Here is a 19,467-nt window from a genome sequence, read left to right as displayed (position 1 = left end):
AGCCCCTTGCTGGGTCAGATTGCTGATTTGTTGCATCTTGGAAGAATAACCCTTGCTTCACTACTGATAGGTTTGTGTTATGGATACTCTGTGTTACTATTTGTTTTGTTAATATCAAACTGTAATGATTAGAATTTTGGAAGACCATTTCCCTGAGGTCAGGTTCTCTGGAGTATACCTGGGAAAGTGGAAAGTATAAACAGAGCAGGGGAGGGTTTCAAAATTCACTGGACTCGGATTGTACAACTCTGTCCTATGAATGAGCAAGAACTAGGTGGGATTCTATAGAATGGGATCTAGGTAGCTAGAAAGGGCAAAGGTGAAGCATTAGATGTATTAGCAGTCAGGGAGAAACTACCAAGCAAATCCAAAATATTCTGTTTGTACTGGAAAAGTCTGTTTTGTGAATCCAGAGTCATCCCCAGCGGGAATAAAATTCTTCCTTTTATAGCCGTCCAACTCTCTCCCAAATCCTTTCATTCCATCCCCACTCTGCACCAGCAAGGGATCCCACTCTCCCACCACTAGGAAGTTATCCCTCAGGTTTAAGATATTTATAGCACCAGACATTCTCTTTGAAAAATATAAGAGAAATAGTGCCTTATGGAAATGATTTTCTGTTTTTTCTTTTAACAGAAAACTCACTTTTTGTCCCTAATAATAAAAACTGCTCTGGCCGAAGCAGGGGCAGGGGCCTGGGCCTTCCCCCTTAGCCTCACCCTTGCTGGCCCTTGAGACACTTGGGTGGAAGCCAGAGGCTCCAGGAAAGCTGTTTCAAAAGCTTTGCTGCAAACCAACCAACCATACAAACTCATTATTGGGACAGCTGGGGAAATTTGAATATTGACTGGGTGTTAGAGGACGTTTAGTAATTATTGTTCATTTTGTCAGATGTGATAATGTTATAATGGTTATGTGAGACAACATCCTGATTTTTTAAAGCTTCCTATTTCATGATGCTTGAGATTTGCATAAAAATGAAGTGAATATGCGCTGGGCACAGTGGCTCACGCCTGTAATCCCAACAGTTTTGGAGGCCGAGGCAGGTGGATCAATTGAGATCAGGAGTTTGAGACCAGTCTGGCCAACATGGTGAAACCCCGTCTCTAGTAAAAATACAAAAATTAGCCAGGTGTGGTGGTACACGCTTGTGATCCCAGCTACTTGGGAGGCTGAGGCAAGAGAATCGCTTGAACCCGGGAAGCAGAGGTTGCAGTGAACCAATATCACATCACTGCCCTCCAGCCTGGGCGACAGAGCGAGACTTCGTCTCCAAAACAAATCGAAAGAAAAAAACGAAAATGAAGTGAATATGGCAAAATGAAAATAATGTTAAATTGAGGTGGTGGGTTATGGGCTCATTACAATCTTTTCTCTGAAAAATGTAAAAGCAATGCTTCAAGCTGGTAGTTGTAGGCATCCTAGGAGGGATAGGTTTATTGGCACAGTTTTCCTTTGAGACTTTGGGTGCCAGTCTAGAGCAGGGCACAGAGGAAATACAGGGGTCAGCTACATTCATCTGCTCACTCACCACCCATGGGTGCTGGCAGGGCATCAAACTACACCCCAAAACTCTCCCCTAGTGTAACCCTTTACTCAACCTAATTAAAGGATGTGTAACATTTTTACCATTAGCAGCAGGGCTAACTACATGCACATCCACCCCCACCCCCTGCAGCTGTCTGGCCCCTCCTGCTTGTCTTGCTTGAGTGGGCAAAATCCCCAACCCCTACCCAGCACGCCCACATTCCCTATATGCCCTGCCCTAAGCTAGCACCTGCTGCCTCAAAGGAATACTGAGCTGATAAAAGTGTTCCTTCTCTCCTCCCCTACCTCATCTCCCTTTCCTGGGCATCCAGGGATCTGAAGAGAGCACCTCTGGTTACTAGGAAGCTGCTAGATGCGTACTGGGCAATAGTACTGTTTTCTCATTTCAGAGACCCACCCGAGACTGCTGACTGGCCGAACGCCAGCACTGTTCTCACATCTCCTTGCTCTGCCCTCTGCTACCAGCCAGCCCAGGAAGCTGAGATGTAGCATCAGAGAGGGAAGAGACTTCTGAAATCAAGAAGTGCAGCCTCCCAAACAGAGCAAGGATCCCTGTAGGCATATCTGATGGATGGTCACCTGGTCCCTGCTAAAATGTTTCCATTGGAGATTGTTTCCACAAACATTTACATAGTACTCCTCTGGGTCAGGCACAGAGGAAGGCACTAATCAGGGTCAGAGCCCAGGGACAGTAAGAGCTCAGTAGCAAACTGCACCAGGACCCACCAGTCTCCTATTGCAGACCTCCGCAGCAGGGGCTGGAAGACGCAGCACCCAAAACTCCAGACAGGCCCATCTCCCTCTAGCAGCAAAAAGGTGGCTGGCTGGCAGATGAATCTATCCCTTGGTAAGGATGCCAGTGTTTGAGTTTTGCCTGATTAGCTCCTCAGTTTTATAATACCAGGAGCCCAGTTTTATTAATGGTCCTGGGGGTTATAGAACTGTGATAACCTAACCTTGTAAGAAACATGCATGCCGGCCAGGTGTGGTGGCTCACGCCTGTAATCCCAGCACTTTGGAAGGCCGAAGAGGGCGGATCGAGGTCAGGAGATCGAGACTATCCTGACTAATATGGTGAAACCCCATCTCTACTAAAAATACAAAAAATTAGCTGGGCCTGGTGGTTCATGCCTGCAGTCCTAGCTACTTGGGAGGCTGAGGCAGGAGAATCGCTTGAACCTGGGAGGCGAAGGTTGCAGTGAGCTGAGATTGTGCCACTGAACTCCAGCCTGGGCAACACAGCGAGACTCTGTCTTAAAAAAAAGAAAAGAAAAAAGAAACATGCATGCTAAGAGGCCAATTTACAAATGAGTCGTGAACAAGCACAGCTGTCCGGCAACCAGAATATTCACATTTGCTTTCCAAGACACACATTTCCTGGTATGGAATTTATAACTAGGAGGTTGCTTGGTGAGCATGAAATTAGCTCAAAGGGTGGGGAGGGCTGTGGAAGAAGCTGAGGGAGAGCTACCCTTGGACTTTACAACAGAACACCTGTTTCCAAGAACGGGGTTTCCCTTGAGTGGACTCTTTTCCTTGATATGCCTTTTCTAATAGCCACATAACACCATCTCGAAAGGTTACAACTTTCTTCATATCAGCTATGTTTCTCATTGTGTTTTCCTGAGGTATCCTTGATACTCTGCGGGAAGGTAGGTGACTGTACCCTGGACAGCACCATGGCCCAGGGCTTTCTTCAGTACTAGTTCTTGTATTTGTATACAGATGTATAGGGGTGAGGGTGGGGGCAGAGGAGACAGTTTGGCAACTCTTCCCTTTTTCTGGTTCTATGTGATGTTGACAGGTGTTATGACAGGGCTCATAAATGTAAATGCAACGGGGTCCAGGTACATAGCATAAAGGAAACAAGCTGAATAAAACAATCTCAATAGAAACTTGAATATAAATATGCTTCTTTGTGCTCTTTTTCTTTTCTTTTTCTTTTTTCTTTTTTTTTTTTTTGAGATTGTGTCTCACTCTGTCACCCAGGCTGGAGTGCAGTGGCACGATCTCGGCTCACTGCAACTTCTGCCTCCCGAATTCAAGCAATTCTCTTGCCTCAGCCTCTGGAGTAGCTGGGACTATAGGCACGTGCCATCATGCTTAGCTGATTTTTGTATTTTTTAGTAGAGATGGAGTTTCACCATGTTGGCCAGGCTGGTCTTGAACTCCTGACCTCAAGTGATCCACCCTCCTGGGCCTCCCAAAGTGCTGGGATTATAGGTGTGAGCCACCGTGCCCGGACTTTCATGCTGTTTACTACAAGAAAAAAATAATACAGACATGAAGATAATGGCAATGAATGCTCAGTGGGGTGAGCGGGCAGTGGTGAGTTCTGGGGACTCTGGTAAGCTGGGGTGGGCACACCCCTTTGCAAGATGACTACTGCTCAACTCCAGCAGACTGTGGCCAGGTGAGAACGAGGCCCTGAAGTTACCAGGTCTGATTTTTTTTCAAGAGAAGTTGGTAAACTGGATTTTTAGGTGAAATCACTTGATTTTTAAGTGTTGGCAGTCAACTCAAACTAATTTTAAAAATGCTTCATGATGCTGGGCACGGTGGCTCACACCTGTAATCCCAGCACTTTGGGAGGTTGAAGTGGGTGGATCGCCTGAAGTCAGGAGTTTGAGACCAGCCTGGTCAACATGGCAAAACCCCGTCTCTACTAAAAATACAAAAATTAGCTAGGCATGATGGTTCGTGCCAATAGTCCCAGCTACTCGGGAGGCTGAGGCAAGAGAATCACTTGTACCTGGGAAGCGGAGGTTGCAGTGAGCCAAGATCACACACTGTACTCCAGCCTGGGTGACAGAGTGAGACACCATCTCAAAAAACAAAAAACAGAAAACAAGCCAAAAAAAACTTCATTAAAGAAAACAAAACATATCCAGGCCAGATTCAGTATGCAACTTCTGCCTTATATATAAAAGGACCCCATGATTAAATGTTTTAGGAAATGCTAATTTCAAAAAATAAAATAGAAAAATATAGACAGATTTTTGTTGTTTTTTAATCATAGACATTCTGAGCGCCTTTCAGAGAGTGATGTGTGTTTGAAGCTCCAATTCAGTCTCCTTGGCTTCACTCAGTCACTCAGTCATAGCATCTCCTCAAGTCAGTATCTAAAGACTGCCATGTGCAGCCATTTCCAGGGGATCCTTTGGCTTTGTGTCGGCCAGTGGCATTTTCTGGCCCTTTCCTCTAAGTCAAGGGATGCATTCTCTGAGGACTCAGAGCCCTGCACACCCGATGCTGACTGCGGAGGAACACAGGAGCGGAAGCAACCTGCCCTGGCTCTGGAGGGATATTCACATTTTTTTTTGTGTGTGTGCAGCTCACTTGTCTGGATTCTAGAACAGTCTGGGCTGAGTTCAACTTTACCCAGAAGCGGCAGGCCCTCTGCCCCTGTCAGCCTCATCTCCTGTCAGTGTCTTCCCCCTTCTTACTTTCATTCCATGTTCAACACCCCATGTGAAAATGTGGCTAAAAGCTCACCACCACCAACCCCTCCCAAAAGATCCCCTGATTTATTTCACCCACTCTGCCTCCCTAGCTAGTCCTGACTACCCCATAGGAAGACTAGGTCCATATTTAGGGCCCAGCAAAGCAGAGGAATAAAAAAAAAAAAATAGAAAAGGGCAGCTTTAGTAAATTTATCCAGAATATTGCAACTGGAATATCTAGAGAGAAGCTTATAAAATTTCAGTATGCATATGAGCTTTCATTATTGCTTTTTTTTTTATTTTTTATTTTTTTGAGACAGAGTCTCACTCTGTCCCCCAGGCTGGAGTACAGTCGTGTGATCTTGGCTCACTGCAACCTCCGCCTCCTGGGTTCAAGCGATTCTCCTGCCTCAGCCCCCCGAGTAGCTGGGACTAAAGGTGTGCGCCACCATGCCTGGATAATTTTTGTATTTTTAGAAGAGACAGATTTTCGCCATGTTGTCCAGGCTGGTCTTGAACTCCTGAACTCACTCATGTGATCCGCCCACCTAGGCCTCCCAAAGTGCTGGGATTACAGCCATGAGCCACTGCACCAGGCCTGTGCTAGTCTTGATATCAATGGGTCGCCTGCTCCTCAGGATCTGGAGAAGACCCTCCGGAACCCCCACCCCATACATTCTGTGAATCCATATGCCCTTGCTTACTCCCTGTCACCTTGGCTCCAATGTGTAGCTCTGCCACATTCTGCATTTTGCAATTTTTTCTTCCTCTCTGCCTCAACATTTGGCAGAAATATAGGACACGACTTTTTCTCAATCCCCTCCCGTCTTCTCAAACGTGTCTACATGAGGCATCTATGTGTGGAGGGGAGCCAGGGATGGCATGTGTACATCACAGGGCCATTAGAGCACACAGCTAAAATTAAACTTCCCAGTTCTTAAAAAGCACAGGTACCATTCCTGCTGACTCCGCGCTGGCGTTCAGCCACAGTGCCGGCCCTCTCTCCCTCCTCCTCTCTCTAACTCCTCCTCACTTTCCAAATCCTGTTAATTCTTCATGTTACTGGTTTAACCATCTCTTCCTTGCTGCCTTCCAGATCATACCACCAGGGCCTTACCTCTATCTCCCTGGAGCTTATTAGATCTTTTCCTAAGCAAAGGCAATTCTTTTCTAAGAGAGACCCTAGTGTTAGTTTTATGAATAGTAATTTTTCTAGGAACCTCACCCCCTTGGCCTAGACTTTGCCCCCAAGGGAGCCCCTGCAGCACCTTTGGGGAACTCTTGGGTTCCACTTTGAAAACTGATGGGCTAGATTACTTTTTTTTTTTTTGAAACAAGGGGCTTGCTCTGTCACCTAGGCTGGAGTGCAGTGGCACAGCCAAGGCTAACTGCAGCCTCAATCTCCGAGGCTCAAGTGATTCCCAGGGCTCAAGTGATCCTCTAGCCTCAGCCTCCCAAGTAGCTGGACTATAGGTGTGCACCACTGTCTCTGGCTAATTTTTTTTGGTAGAAATGGGTTTCACTATGTTGTCCAGGCTGGTCTTAAACTCCTGAGTTAAAGTGATCCTCCCACCTTAGCTTCCCAAAGTGCTGAGATTACAGGCCTAAGCCACTGCCCCCAGCCAGCCTAGATCATTTTTGAGAGCCTTTCCATGTTTCAAGCTCTGTGAGTCTATGATTCCTGGATGTGAAGTCTGTGTGACTGATAAAAGCAGGCAGAAATGCAAAGCTGAGAAGAACGCTTGGCTTGGAATGGTGATTCTCAAGATTTTTATACTCAGAATCCCTTTATACTCCCTAGGAGAACCCCAAAGGATTTTTGTTCTCATCCCTTATATCAGTCTTTATATGCTGTGTGATCTTGGTGTAGTAATTAGCTCCTCTGAACCTCAATGCCTGTCTTAAAATTAGGACTGAAATATCCACTAGGAAGGACTACGGTGAGAATTAAATGAGATAATGTAAGATCAAAGTAATTTTTCAATTCTAAAGGGTTATGTAAATGTTACTTGTTGTTAGTATTATTGGTTCTATTAAGGAGATAATGGAGATGCTGCAGCTGTATGTCACCTTCTCTAAGTACCCAGGAGCAGCAAGAAACACTGAATTTTGGAGTCTTATCTGGAAAAGACTTGGAATTGTAATCCCCCACTTACTGACTGTAAGAGCCTTGGGTAAGTCACTCAACCTCTCTGAATCATTTCAATTTACTCACCATTGTGGGGTGGGGGGGAAGGAAAATAATACAGGGTTTATTTTCCAGGCTTATAGCAAGAATCTGGAATCATGTCTTGATAGAGCTGGCACCAGGTAGATACTAAAAAGCAAACAAAATCTAGTCTGTGCTTCTTTCCAACGTACTGGTTCACTTAAATCTGCCCTCCTATGCAATATTTTGTCAGGAATATCTTTATTTCATCAAAAGTTCACTATAGAAATGTACCAGCAATTCTACTTTAGACTGGTCCTTTAAAAATATATTTTTGGCTATACAATGACTTTTTTTTTTTTTTCATTGAGGGGAACAGGACACCAGATTCTGAAGGTAGAAGTATGTTAAAGACCAGACTTGAATTTAAGCCAGATCATAGGAAGGGAACATGGCATGGACCAGTATGGGAGGCATCTCAAAGAGGGACATTATTTCTCTGAATGAGATTGCTCACCTACGATCCCACCACCCCTGAAGCCTGGCCTGCTGTATGACATTCAGACATCCTCTGTCCGGGCAGTTGCCAATCCTGGTTGTTGAGTGGGACTCTGACTCGGAATCTGTGCCCACAAATCTGGCCCACGACTTCCCCCTTTAGCTCTGAATTTTCAGAATTAGAGTCCCTCCTTGGGTTGGGTGCTATTTTTCAGAAGGCCTGTTTTAAACATCGGTATCACCTGAGAAGAATAACAGCTCAGCATATATTCCTCAGCACGTAGCCCTAACAGCTCAGCATGGGTCAAGATATTGTGGAATTGTACCATCATAGGACCCTAAAAGAGGTACTGCAAGGACCTTAGTGATCAACCAATCTAACTACCTTGTTTTGTATAAGAGAAAACTGAGGCCAGAGTGATGAAGTGACTTTATCAAGGGTATACTGAGTCATTGGCAGTACCGAGAGGAGAACTCAGGTTTCCCCATTTCAGGTCCAGTGTTTCTTTCCCCCATATCTGCCATCCATCCCTCCTTCCAATAAAGGGCTATTGAGTACCCATTATGTGCCAGGAATTATGGTGAGAGCTGGGGATACAGAGGTGCCTAATAGACAACTCAGCCTTCATGCTGCCTACCTGTGCACATTGGCTACATGGATTAATGAACTCCCCTGCCCTCTGCCACCATCAGTGGGCACAGAATTGGTAAGTGTTGATGGGAAGATAAATGAAGAAGGATGTCTGTAACACAGGCTGCCACTTACCCATCCACCAACCCAACCTGAGCAGTAACACTTGCTATGGGGGAATGCACATGAGAATATTGGGAACATGGCAGGATTGGGGGGCGGGGCAGGTTGTGGGGCAGGAAGTAGAAGGAAAAAAGAAGCACAGGTCTCTGAAAGCAGGTTTAGGAAGACACTGAAGCCAAACCTCCCTCCTCTTGTTGTAGCTGAAGGAGAGGAACCAGGCGTGTACTTGAGCCAACTTAATGATGAGTCTTGCTTAAGACTCTACTTCTCTAGAGGATCAAGGAAGCTCTGGCACTGAATACAAGAATAGGAGGAAGCTGGACTCAGCAGCCGTCCCCAGCCTCCCACCTCTTGGGCTCAGCAGCTGTGCACCTCCCTGCTCCTGCACCCTGGACCCCTCCCTCCACAGGGCTCCCAGCCTCAAACAGTCAAGCTCACAAGTTGGCTGGGGCCAGCTTTCCCAGAAACTAGAAAGCTATGCTATGCATCTATCGTCTGTGAATCACTGCCCTCAGGTCATTAAGGAAACTTATTGGAGGTCTGATAGCTACAACGAGCTTAAAAGAAAAACTAAAACTTTTTCATGAACTGATAATAACTAGTTGAAAGTTTCAACTGTTCTCCCAAAGGAGTCAAGGGTGGTGTTATTTGAGCATAGTAAGATTGCCTCCTCTTCTAAGAAGTCATGTCAGAGAGCTAAGTACGTACCCCTGGAGACTCCAGCCCCATTGCCAATGAAACTATCTCGTACTAACTCTGCCTCTTCCCCCTTGGAGCTGAGGTCTGCCGAGGGGCTTCCAGGGAGAGTGTTCCTATTCTATAAAGAGCTACCCCTCTCTAGATTCCAGGATGCCTAGGCACTAGAGAGGGAAAGCCCTTTATAGAGTTCCTCTGTGTTTCCGGCTGCCAGGATGCCTAGGCACTAGATCCCCTCACAGGCCTGAGAGCCTCCCAAAACCACTGTACACACATATGCCCCTGATCCGATGGGGCGACTGAAATTCTTACCACTATTCGAGTCATTTCTCTGATCTACTCTCTAAAAGCCCCTATAAAAGCACAAATCATATACTATACAAATTATTACACAGCCCATCGTAGAAGTTTAGTTGGCTTTATTGGCTCCAGGGCTGAATGTTTTGCCCTAAGGCAGCGAATCAGAATCACTGTGGGTGAGGCTTAGGCATTTTACAATTTGTCCTGGAGATTTGAATGTGCAACCAGGATGAGGAACTGCTGCCCTCAGGGAGCGGTGCACAGAAGGGGAAAAAAGAGACTTAGGTCCCGGCCCTCCCCTGCTCCAGTCTAGACCAGCTCTGTGCCATGTTAAGAATGCCATTTGTAGGCTGGGCGTGGTGTCTCAAGCTTGTAATCCCAGCACTTTGGGAGGCCGAGGCAGGCAGATCAACTAAGGTCGGGAATTCGAGACCAGCCTGACCAACACGGAGAAACCCAGTCTCTACTAAAAATACAAAAATTAGCTGGGTGTGGTGGCGCATGCCTGTAATCCCAGCTACTCGGGAGGCTGAGGCAGAAGAATCGCTTGAACCCGGGAGGTGGAGGTTGCGGTGAGCCAAGATCCTACCATTGCACTCCAGCCTGGGAGACAAGAGCGAAACTCTGTCTTAAAAAAAAAAAAAAAAGAACTCCACCTGTCTCTTTGGCTTTCAGTTTGGACTTTCTTCTGGAAAATGAAAGAATGGGACTTGATGATCTTTGAGGTCCTTTCCATAGTCCTCAGCCTCTTGGCCAGAACCAAAAGATGAGTCTCTTTCAACTGCAACATTTTGTGACTATACAGGTTATTTTATGATTAGAAGAGCCAAATGGAGACTTTCTGGGAGTCCCTGAAGTCAAAACTGGCCAGGTTAACCCTCCTGTCCTTCATACAATTCCTTTTACCTGTTTACTGGCCATCAAACTCAGTGTTAAACCAACCTAACAGAAGGCAATGGCAACATCAAGGGCTGCTCCTAGCTATAAAAGGTGCATTAATCTTCGTAATGGTCCATCTTCCCCAGACCACTTCCTCCATCTGGACATTTATGGGACGGTGAATCAAGGGTTGCCCAGGAAGGTCTCTGTGCAATGCCAGCTCTGGCAGGTCACAATGTTCTGAGAGGGTTCTGAGTCCTAACCAAGAAGAGGCTTCTGCAGGCCAAGCTCCCGAAGGCTTCAGGGAGAAAAATGTCGTTATTCACTTTCTTCTGTCCAGGTCACAGTATGGCAGAAGAGGGACACATGTCCCCACTCTTCTTTGGCAAGTAATAATGCCAGAAGAATTTTGAATTCATCCTTTCGCAAAAATGGGAGATTGTTAAATAAAGATACATTGATAAATATGTATTCTGAGAAACACATTTTATTTTTCATGATAGATCTGTTCCTGAAAACATGGTGTTCAAGTTGAACATATGAAAACAGAACTTCTTTCTTCTTCAATGGAAGTGACACCTAACAATTTGGATTTAGATTTCTCTGCCTCTTACATCTACTGCTTGATAATGTAGAAACCAACATTCAAATCCAGGGAAGCAAATCCTTTTTTAAAAGATTTGATTAAATTATCTGAGGATAAATTGTGCCTTGTTTTTTATTTTTAACTATATTTTTGAGAGGGAGCTTCACAAACTCTTTATTATTCCCTTAAGATCCAACTTTTGGTTCTTATGACATCAGTTTCAGATGAGGACGCACAAGTCACTGTTCCCATTACTATATTGGGAGGGTGGGGTTCTGAAAATGTGCAATGTGAGTGGTGAGTCTTTGCTGGAAGGGTACTATCTTCTCATCTACCAAAGGGAAGGTGAGTAGAAAATTCCTAAAACTAAAAAATCAAGAAGTGGCAGTATCTATTTGTTATTTAAAAATATCAAGGTTAATAGCAAATAAATCTACTAAATTGAATTTAAAATGATGACCTACATCAAGAAATACCATAAGTCAAGTAAAAAGATCAGTGACAAAATGGGAAAAAATATTTGCAACTTAAATGTCAGACAAAGGTTAATTTCCATGGTATATAAAGTTTCTCAAAAAGGATAATTAAAAAGGTCAGCAATCACAGAAGAATCAGCTAGAGATATCAATAATTATTAGAAAAAGAAATGCAAATGGCCCTTAACATTATGAAAAGATGTCCAACCTCACTTAAAAGGCATTCAAATCAAAGCTAAACTGAGATACTATTTTAGACTTATCAAATTGGCAAAAATCCAAAATTTAAGAATACTCTGTTGGCAAGACTGGGAAAACAGACACTCTCATGCATTCCCAGTCATAATGCAAATTGGTTCAATCCCTACAGAGGATAATTTGGCAATATATAGCAGAATTGTTTATGCATATACCCTTAACCCAGGAATCTCACTTCTAGGCGCCTAACACAAAGATTATACTAGTGAAATATGAAAAGATACACACACACACACACACACACACACAAAAAAAACATACATACATATATATCTTTATACATAGATCTATTTATCTATGTATAGAAAGAGGCAATTTATTATAGCACTATTTGTAATAGCAAGACTGGATACAATCAGAATGCCTGTCAAAGGTGACTGGATGAATAAAGTATGGTACTTCCATACACTGGAGTATTAAAAAAACTGCAAAAAGGAAAGAGAAACATCTCTGAATTCTCCCATGAAGTAGTCTGCAGGATATGTTAAATGAAAAAAAGAATTACAAAAAATATACAGTATGCCACTTACATCAAAAATGTCTTGCCATGCCAGAAAGCAATAGAGCTATCAAAGAATGCTAAGACTTTATAGAAAGGACTCAGGATAAAATGGCACAGCCAATTTTGAAAAAGTTTGGCAGTTCCTCAAAAACGTGAACAGAGTTATCGTATAACCCAGCAATTTCATTCCTAAGTATATACCCCCAAAATTAACAACGTATGTCCACACAAAAACTTGCACATGAATGTTCACTAGCAGCATTATTTGTAACCTGCCCAAGGTGGAAACAACCCAAATGTCTATTGACTGATAAAAGATAAAATGTGGTATATCCATACAAGGGAATATTATTTATCCATAGATAGGAAGTACTGCTACATGTTAAAATATGGATGAACCTTGAAAACACTCTGCTAAGTGAAAGAAGCCAGTCACAAAAGGCCACATATTATATGATTTCATTTGCATGAAACGCCCAGAACAGGAAAATCTGTAGAGACAGAAAGTAGATTGGTAGTTGTCAGGAGCTGGGAGTGGGAGGGGGAATGGGTAGCGACTGCTAATGGGTATGTGGTTTCTTCTTCGGGTAAGGCAGTTATCCTGAAATTAGATGGTGGTGATAGTTGCACAACTTTTTGAATATACTAAAAACCATTGGCCGGGCGTGATGGCTCACGCCTGTAATCCCAGCACTTTGGGAGGCTGAGGGGGCGGATCACAAGGTCAGGAGATTGAGACCATCCTGGCTAACATGACTAAAAATACAAAAAATTAGCCGGGTGTGGTGGCAGGCACCTGTAGTCCCAGCTACTCGGGAGGCTGAGGCAGGAGAGTGGTGTGAACCTGGGAGGCGGAGCTGGCAGTGAGCCGAGATTGTGCCACTGCACTCTAGCCTGGGCGACAGAAAGAGACTCCCCCGCAAACAAACAAACAAACAAAAAAACCCATTGAACTGTACAATTTAAAATGGTGACTTTTATGGTATATTGAATTGTTTCTCAATTAAAAAGGCATATACATTAGGGCTGGGCATGGTGGCTCATGCCTGTAATCCCAGCACTCTAGGGGGCTGAGGCAGGAAGACAACTTGAGTTCAGGAGCTCGAGACCAGCCTGGCCAATACGGTGAAATCCTATCTCTACTAAAAATACAAAAATTAGCGGGGGCATGGTGGTGGGCACCTGTAATCTCAGGTACTCAGGAGGCTGAGGCAGGAGAATCGCTTGAACCCAGGAGGTGGAGGGTGCAGTGAGCCGAGATCATGCCAGTGCACTCCAGCCTGGGAGACAGAGCGAGACTGTCTCAAAAAAAAAAAAAGATATATACACTAAATTTTTAAAGAAAATATTCATTGATAAACAAAAAACAACACAAAAGGACTAAGGTACCAACATAAATCAGCTCCATTTGCCAAAGTCGGGACAATTTGAGCATCAAAGTAGTAACTATAAGTGACTCAAACATATAAAATATGTTTAAATCCATGATTTGGCCAGGCGTGGTGACTCATGCCTGTAATCCTAGCACTTTGGGAGGCAGAGGCGGGTGGATCACGAGGTCAGGAGTTCAAGACCAGCCTGGCCAAGATGGTGAAACTCCATCTCTACTAAAAATACAAAAAAAATTAGCCGGGCATGGTGGCACACACCTGTAATCCCAGCTACTCCGGAGGCTGAGGCAGAGAATTGCTTAAACCTGGAAGGGCGGAGGTTGCAGTGAGCCGAGATCGTGCCACTGCACTCCAGCCTGGGCAACAGAGCAAGACTCTGTCTCAAAAAAAAAAAAAAATCCATGATTTGAAGAATTCCAGAAAACAAATTTATTATCTTGAAAACTATTAATAATAGAAAAAGAAGCATTTATTCTGTCTTTTCTGTACAAACTATGCCTAAGGATAACCAAATAGTTAATGAGAGAAGATTCTCTTTACAGAATTATTTAAAGTAATAAACAATGAAGCAATAATAGAATATGATCATTTTGCAATTCTGATGAATTATTGGATCTGTGCAATAATTAACAATGGCTGATAACATCACAGAAAGAGAGACAATCACACATTACATATGATGCACCCAATAACACCTATGAAACACTCTTGCTAAAAAACTAAACTAAACAAATCTAACCAGAATCTAATCAGGCATCAGCAAACAAAGAAACTTGTTAAACAACTTAACAGGGATGCAATTTTGAAAACATACATCATGGGAAATTCTACAAAACAATCTGGTTTCTTCAACAACAACACTGCAAGGAACAAAGCATACAAAGGGATGGCAGTGTAATCTACAAATCACAGACCTAAGAGACACATTAAACAATGCCAGTGCATGAACCTTATTTGAATCTGGATTCAAACAAATAAACCACTAAAAATTTAAAGACAATAAAACATTGTTTTTAGACAATTAAGAATTTATGAACACTGACAAAATATGTGATAATGTTAATGAATTATTAATAGTTTTAGAGATTGTGATGGTTAATTTTATGTATCAACTTGACTGGGCCATGGGGGTCCAGATATTTGGTCAAACATTATTCTGAGTATGTTTGTTAAACATTATTCTGGGTGTGTTTTTGGATGAGGTTAACAGTTAAATCAATAAACTGAATAAGGTGGATTGCTCTTCTTTGATGCAGGTGGGCCTCATCCCATCAGTAAAGGCCTGAATAGAACAAACAGGCAGATCCTCCCTTGAATAAAAGGGAACTCTTTGTGCCTTACTGCTTACACTGGGAAATGTTGTTTTCCCATCTTGAAGCCCCAGTTGGAAAATCTGTTCTCCTTGAGTCTCAAGCCTGCTGGCTTTCAGACAGGAACTGACACCATTAGCTCTCCTGGTTCTCAAGCTTTCAGACTCAGACTGGAACTATACTTTGCCTCTCCTTGGTCTCCAGCTTGCCAATTGTAGATTTTGGGATGTCTCAGCCTCTATAAATTATGTACCTAATTTCTTATAACAAATCTCCTCTCTCTCTTTCTTTACACACACACACACACACACACACACACACACACACACACACACACAAATCTCCTATTGGTTCTATTTCTCTGGAGAACCCTGACTAATACAGGGATGGTAAGGTGTTATAGTTATAGTTAAGAGTCCTTATCCTTTAGAAATACATATATGAAATACTTACAGATAAAATGATATGATGTCTGACATTTGCTTCAAAATAATCTTAGGATGGAAGGAAATGGATAAAGATTTAGATGAAACAGACTGGCTATCTGTTGGTAATTGTTAAAGCTGGGTGATGGAAGCATGGGGTTTCCTCATGCTATTCTCTCTGCTTTTGTATATGGATACAGTTTTCTTTAGTGAAAAAGTAAAAAATGGAAGAAAACGAAAAATAGGAAATTGAAAAATATTAGTAGTATGGGGAATTACTTTTTCTCATAACCACTACTGTAGAATAATTTGACTCTTTATAATATGTGTGTGTGTAAAACTAAGTATCTTTTAAAAATTAAAAAGTGAAGAGAACCTACCATAAATATAATATGTAATGGTGAAACTTTAGATGCATTCTCATTAAAGGTAGAAACATCAACGATTCCTGCTCTTTGACATTGTACTGGAGTCTTAGCCTTTGCAATAAGACAAGAAAAAGAAGAGCTAAATAGAATAGGAGAAAAAAATTATTGTTGTTTGCAGACAATACTGTATGTATAGATAATCCAAAATTATTTACAAACTGCAGGAAAACTGCTGGATATAAGAGCAAGACACAAAAATCAATATTGTTCCCATATATTGGGAATAACCAATAGTAATTAGAAAATGTGGTATAACAAAATTATATACACAATGGCAACAGAAACTGTAAGGTACATAGAAATAAATCTATCAAAAGGTGGGAAGACATTTTTGAAGAAAATTATAAAACATTATTGAAGGACATAAGAATAGACCTGAATGAAATCATAAATATATCAATTATTTCCCAAATTAATCTCTAAAGTCAATGCCTCAAACCAGAAACTCAATAACAGAACTTTTTTGGAACCCAATAAACTGATACCAAATTTCACCATTTCAAAATTTTGAGAAACATTTTAAAAATAAGAACAAAGGGAGGCTTGTTTTTACCAAGAATTAAGGCTCATTAGAAAGCTGTTGTACCTAAAATAGTGAAATATTGGGATAGGGATAGAAAAATAAATTAATAGAATAGGCCAGAGATTCCAGAAATAGCCTCATATAAAATTTGAAATAATGTATTATACAGATGATAGTTGAGAAATGATGGACAATTCAATAAATGGAGTAATTGGCTTGCCCTGCTGGGGAAAAAATGAAGTTAGATTCTTACTCAACACATAATAGAAAAATAAATTCCAGTTGGATTAAAGCTCTAAATATGAAAAACAAAAGTTAAATTTGTTAGAAGAACATACAGGGGGAAATATTTCTATTCTCAAGGTACAGAACACAAGACACAAAAAGCCAAAATAATAAAAGGAGGAATTGATTGCATCATAATTTAAATTTTCTGTGTAACAAAAGACCCCATCCAAAGCAAAAAGATAGTGACAGATTAGAGAAGATATTTTCAACATATCAGAATATATACAGGTCCTACAATTTGATAAGAAAAACAATCTAATAAAAAGTTGAGCAGAAGATATGAATGATTTACAGAAGAGAAAATCCAAACAACAAATAAATACAAGGAAAGATACTCAAAATACTCAGTAATCAGAGAAATAAAAAAGCAAAATGAGATGCTATTTTTACACCTACCAGATTGATAAAAATTAAAAAGTCTGAATATGAAGATGTTGGGAAACTAAAATGCAGCTTGTTGGACAACTAATTTAATACAACTAATTTAGAGATAAAATTCAGGATATGGTCCTATTTAGTTGAAAACTCATACATTATATGACACAGCAATACTTATACTCAGCATATACTTCTAGATATACACCTGGGAGAAATTCTGACACATGAACACAAAGAGACATATGAGAACATTCACTGTAGCACTTTAAAATAAAAATAAATGGGGGAAAAGCTGGAAATAAATTATAAAAGTTGAATAAATTTCTGGTGAACAAAATGTGCCATATCCATATGCTTAAATACTATGCAGTAGTTAAAAATGAATGAACTAGATCTAGCCTATGTATCAGCATAGACAGATGTCAAAAATAATGTAGAATTTATTTATTTATTTATTTTTGGAGACAAAGTTTCATTCTTGTCATCCAGGCTGGAGTGCAATGGTGGGATCTCAGCTCACTGCAACCTTCTTCTCTTGGGTTCAAGTGATTCTCCTGCCTCAGCCTCCCAAGCAGCTGGGATTACAGGTGCCCACCACCACGCCCAACTAATTTTTGTATTTTTAGTAGAGATGGGGTTTCACCATGTTGGCCAGGCTGGTCTCGAACTCCCGACCTCAGGTGATCCGCCCACCTCGGCCTCCCAAAGTGCTGGGATTACAGACGTGAGCCACCATGCCCCACCATAATGTAGAGTTTAAAAAGCAATTTCCAGAATAGTACAATGTATCAATTATTGAGAGTAAGAGAATGGGGACAAGCATAGACAGCTGTTTTGAGAAGTTCTGCTGTGAAATGGTAGGGATTGTAATAGCTGGAAGTGGGAGTATAGTGGCTAAGGAGAGTTATAATTATTTTTTTAAATAAATATTACTACAGCTTGTTTGCAAATGGGTGGGAATGATCTGGTAGACAGAATGAAAATCATAAAGAGCAAAATCCTTGGGAAGGTGGAAGCTTGGGCTCCAAAGCACAGAAGGAGGATGCTACTATATTTTAGGCAGCTAAATGGTAAGTGGTCATGGGATGGAATGAAGGCGCTGAATTTGTAGGCTGTTGAGGAGGTAGAACCTTCAAGAAGTAATGCTAATTGGATGTCTGGTGACATTATAAAGGGGAGTCTGGTTAAAAGGCAGGACAAAGGCCAGATGCAGTGGCTCATGCCTGTAATCCTAGCACTTTGGGAAGCCGAGGCAGGTGGATCACCTGAAGTCAGGAGTTCGAGACCAGCCTGGCCAACATGGCGAAACCCCCCTCTACTAAAAATACAAAATTAGCTGGGCGTGGTTCGGGTGCCCGTGATCCCAGCTACTTGGGAGGCTGAGGAGGGAGAATCGCTTGAGCCTGGGAGGCAGAGGTTGCAGTGAGCCGAGATTGTGCCACTGCACTCCAGCCTGGCGACAGAGCAAGACTCTGTCTCAAAAAAAAAAAAAAAAAAAAAAAAAGCAAGACAAAAGGACTTCTCTCCTGTCACAGACTCTGCCCTTTCTGAGAGTCTGGGACCCTACTATTGTCACTCCTAAATTTTGTTTGTTTGTTTGTTTGTTTGTTTGTTTGTTTGTTTTTGAGACAGAGTTTCACTCTGTCGCCCAGGCTGGAGTGCAGTGGTGTGTTCTCGGCTCACTGCAAGCCCTGCCTCCCGGGTTCACGCCATTCTCCTGCCTCAGCCTCCCCAGTAGCTGGGACCACAGGCGCCCGCCACCACGCCCGGCTAATTTTTTGTATTTTTAGTAGAGATGGGGTTTCACCGTGTTAGCCAGGATGGTCTCGATCTCCTGACCTCGTGATCTGCCCGCCTCGGCCTCCCAAAGTGCTGGGATTACAGACGTGAGCCATCGCGCCCAGTCTGTCACTCCTAACTTCTAATCTGCTCTAGGGAGAGTCCCAATAGTCCATCTTGCATACTGAAGATTAAGTGAATTTCACAGCCAACACCACACAATACCTTCTCTATTGAGCTGTAAGCTGCCTCTGGACTGGATGGTGTTTTGTTTTTATTTTTACCGTCAGCACCAGTGCCTCTCACATAGAATTTAGCCAAGCCGGTTAGGTGTTAAGTGCTGCTGCTGCGCTGTCAGAAGGGCACACGGGGCTGGTTCTAGACCGGCCTCTGCTGCTTACTCGTTCAGTAATCTTCTACAGCAAGTTCTTGAACTTCTCTGGGCCTGTTTTCTACCTCGCCGAGTGGTTAACTGCGTTTAGGATCTTGGAAGCACCTAAGCACGAAAAGCACATAGGCCAGAAGTTAAGATGTCCCTTGGGGACGCAAATACCGGGAATTTCTCCGGCTGTTCCCACCGATCAAGCACCAGGGCTCTCAGGTCTAGCTCCTTCGTCTCCCCACCCCCACATATACCCTCACTTTTTCTTCCTTTCCCTATGCCTCGCAGTCCCTCAACAGGGTCTGCGGTCAGACGTCACTCCCAGGTGACTGGCAATCAGGGATGCCGCCTCGCTCACCTGGCCACCCTTGAAGATTGTGGATCCTGCACCGGCTAGCCGGCTGGCAGAGGGCGCGCCAACAGCCGCCAGCCGAAGTGCCCCCGCGTAGGTGGGAGGAGTGACTGCCTCTCACC

The 19,467-nt window shown here is 42.8% G+C and overlaps 2 long non-coding RNA genes across 4 annotated transcripts, besides 1 other annotated feature; one reads left to right on the top strand and one right to left on the bottom strand.

The window, feature by feature from the left end:
• The first annotated feature begins 3,034 nt into the window (after nucleotides 1-3,034).
• On the top strand, nucleotides 3,035-10,971 carry LOC105372869 (uncharacterized). Of its 3 annotated transcripts, none has more exons than XR_922476.3 (3): nucleotides 3,035-3,200; nucleotides 7,079-7,165; nucleotides 10,771-10,971. It is a non-coding gene; the product is annotated as an uncharacterized LOC105372869 (long non-coding RNA). The 3 variants fall into 3 exon arrangements; XR_922475.3 differs by having other exon boundaries at nucleotides 7,072-7,165; XR_922474.3 differs by having other exon boundaries at nucleotides 7,030-7,165.
• On the bottom strand, nucleotides 10,372-19,394 carry AVPR1B-DT (AVPR1B divergent transcript). Its single transcript, NR_186693.1, has 3 exons — nucleotides 19,352-19,394; nucleotides 18,837-19,107; nucleotides 10,372-10,687 (listed from the first exon to the last, which is right to left on the bottom strand). It is a non-coding gene; the product is annotated as an AVPR1B divergent transcript (long non-coding RNA).
• Nucleotides 18,675-18,969: a silencer, noted in NCBI's record as "tiled region #13667; HepG2 Repressive non-DNase unmatched - State 7:EnhWF". NCBI's record gives its function as "represses a minimal TATA promoter and a strong SV40 promoter by Sharpr-MPRA in HepG2 cells {active_cell/tissue: HepG2}" and the evidence as "EXISTENCE:reporter gene assay evidence [ECO:0000049][PMID:27701403]".
• Nucleotides 19,395-19,467: the final 73 nt, after the last annotated feature.

The sequence above is a fragment of the Homo sapiens genome, chromosome 1 (assembly GCF_000001405.40).
Source record: "Homo sapiens chromosome 1, GRCh38.p14 Primary Assembly".
Classification (NCBI taxonomy): Eukaryota; Metazoa; Chordata; class Mammalia; order Primates; family Hominidae; genus Homo; species Homo sapiens.
Note: the sequence above shows the minus strand (reverse complement) of the source record. Positions and strands in the feature narration are given on the sequence as shown.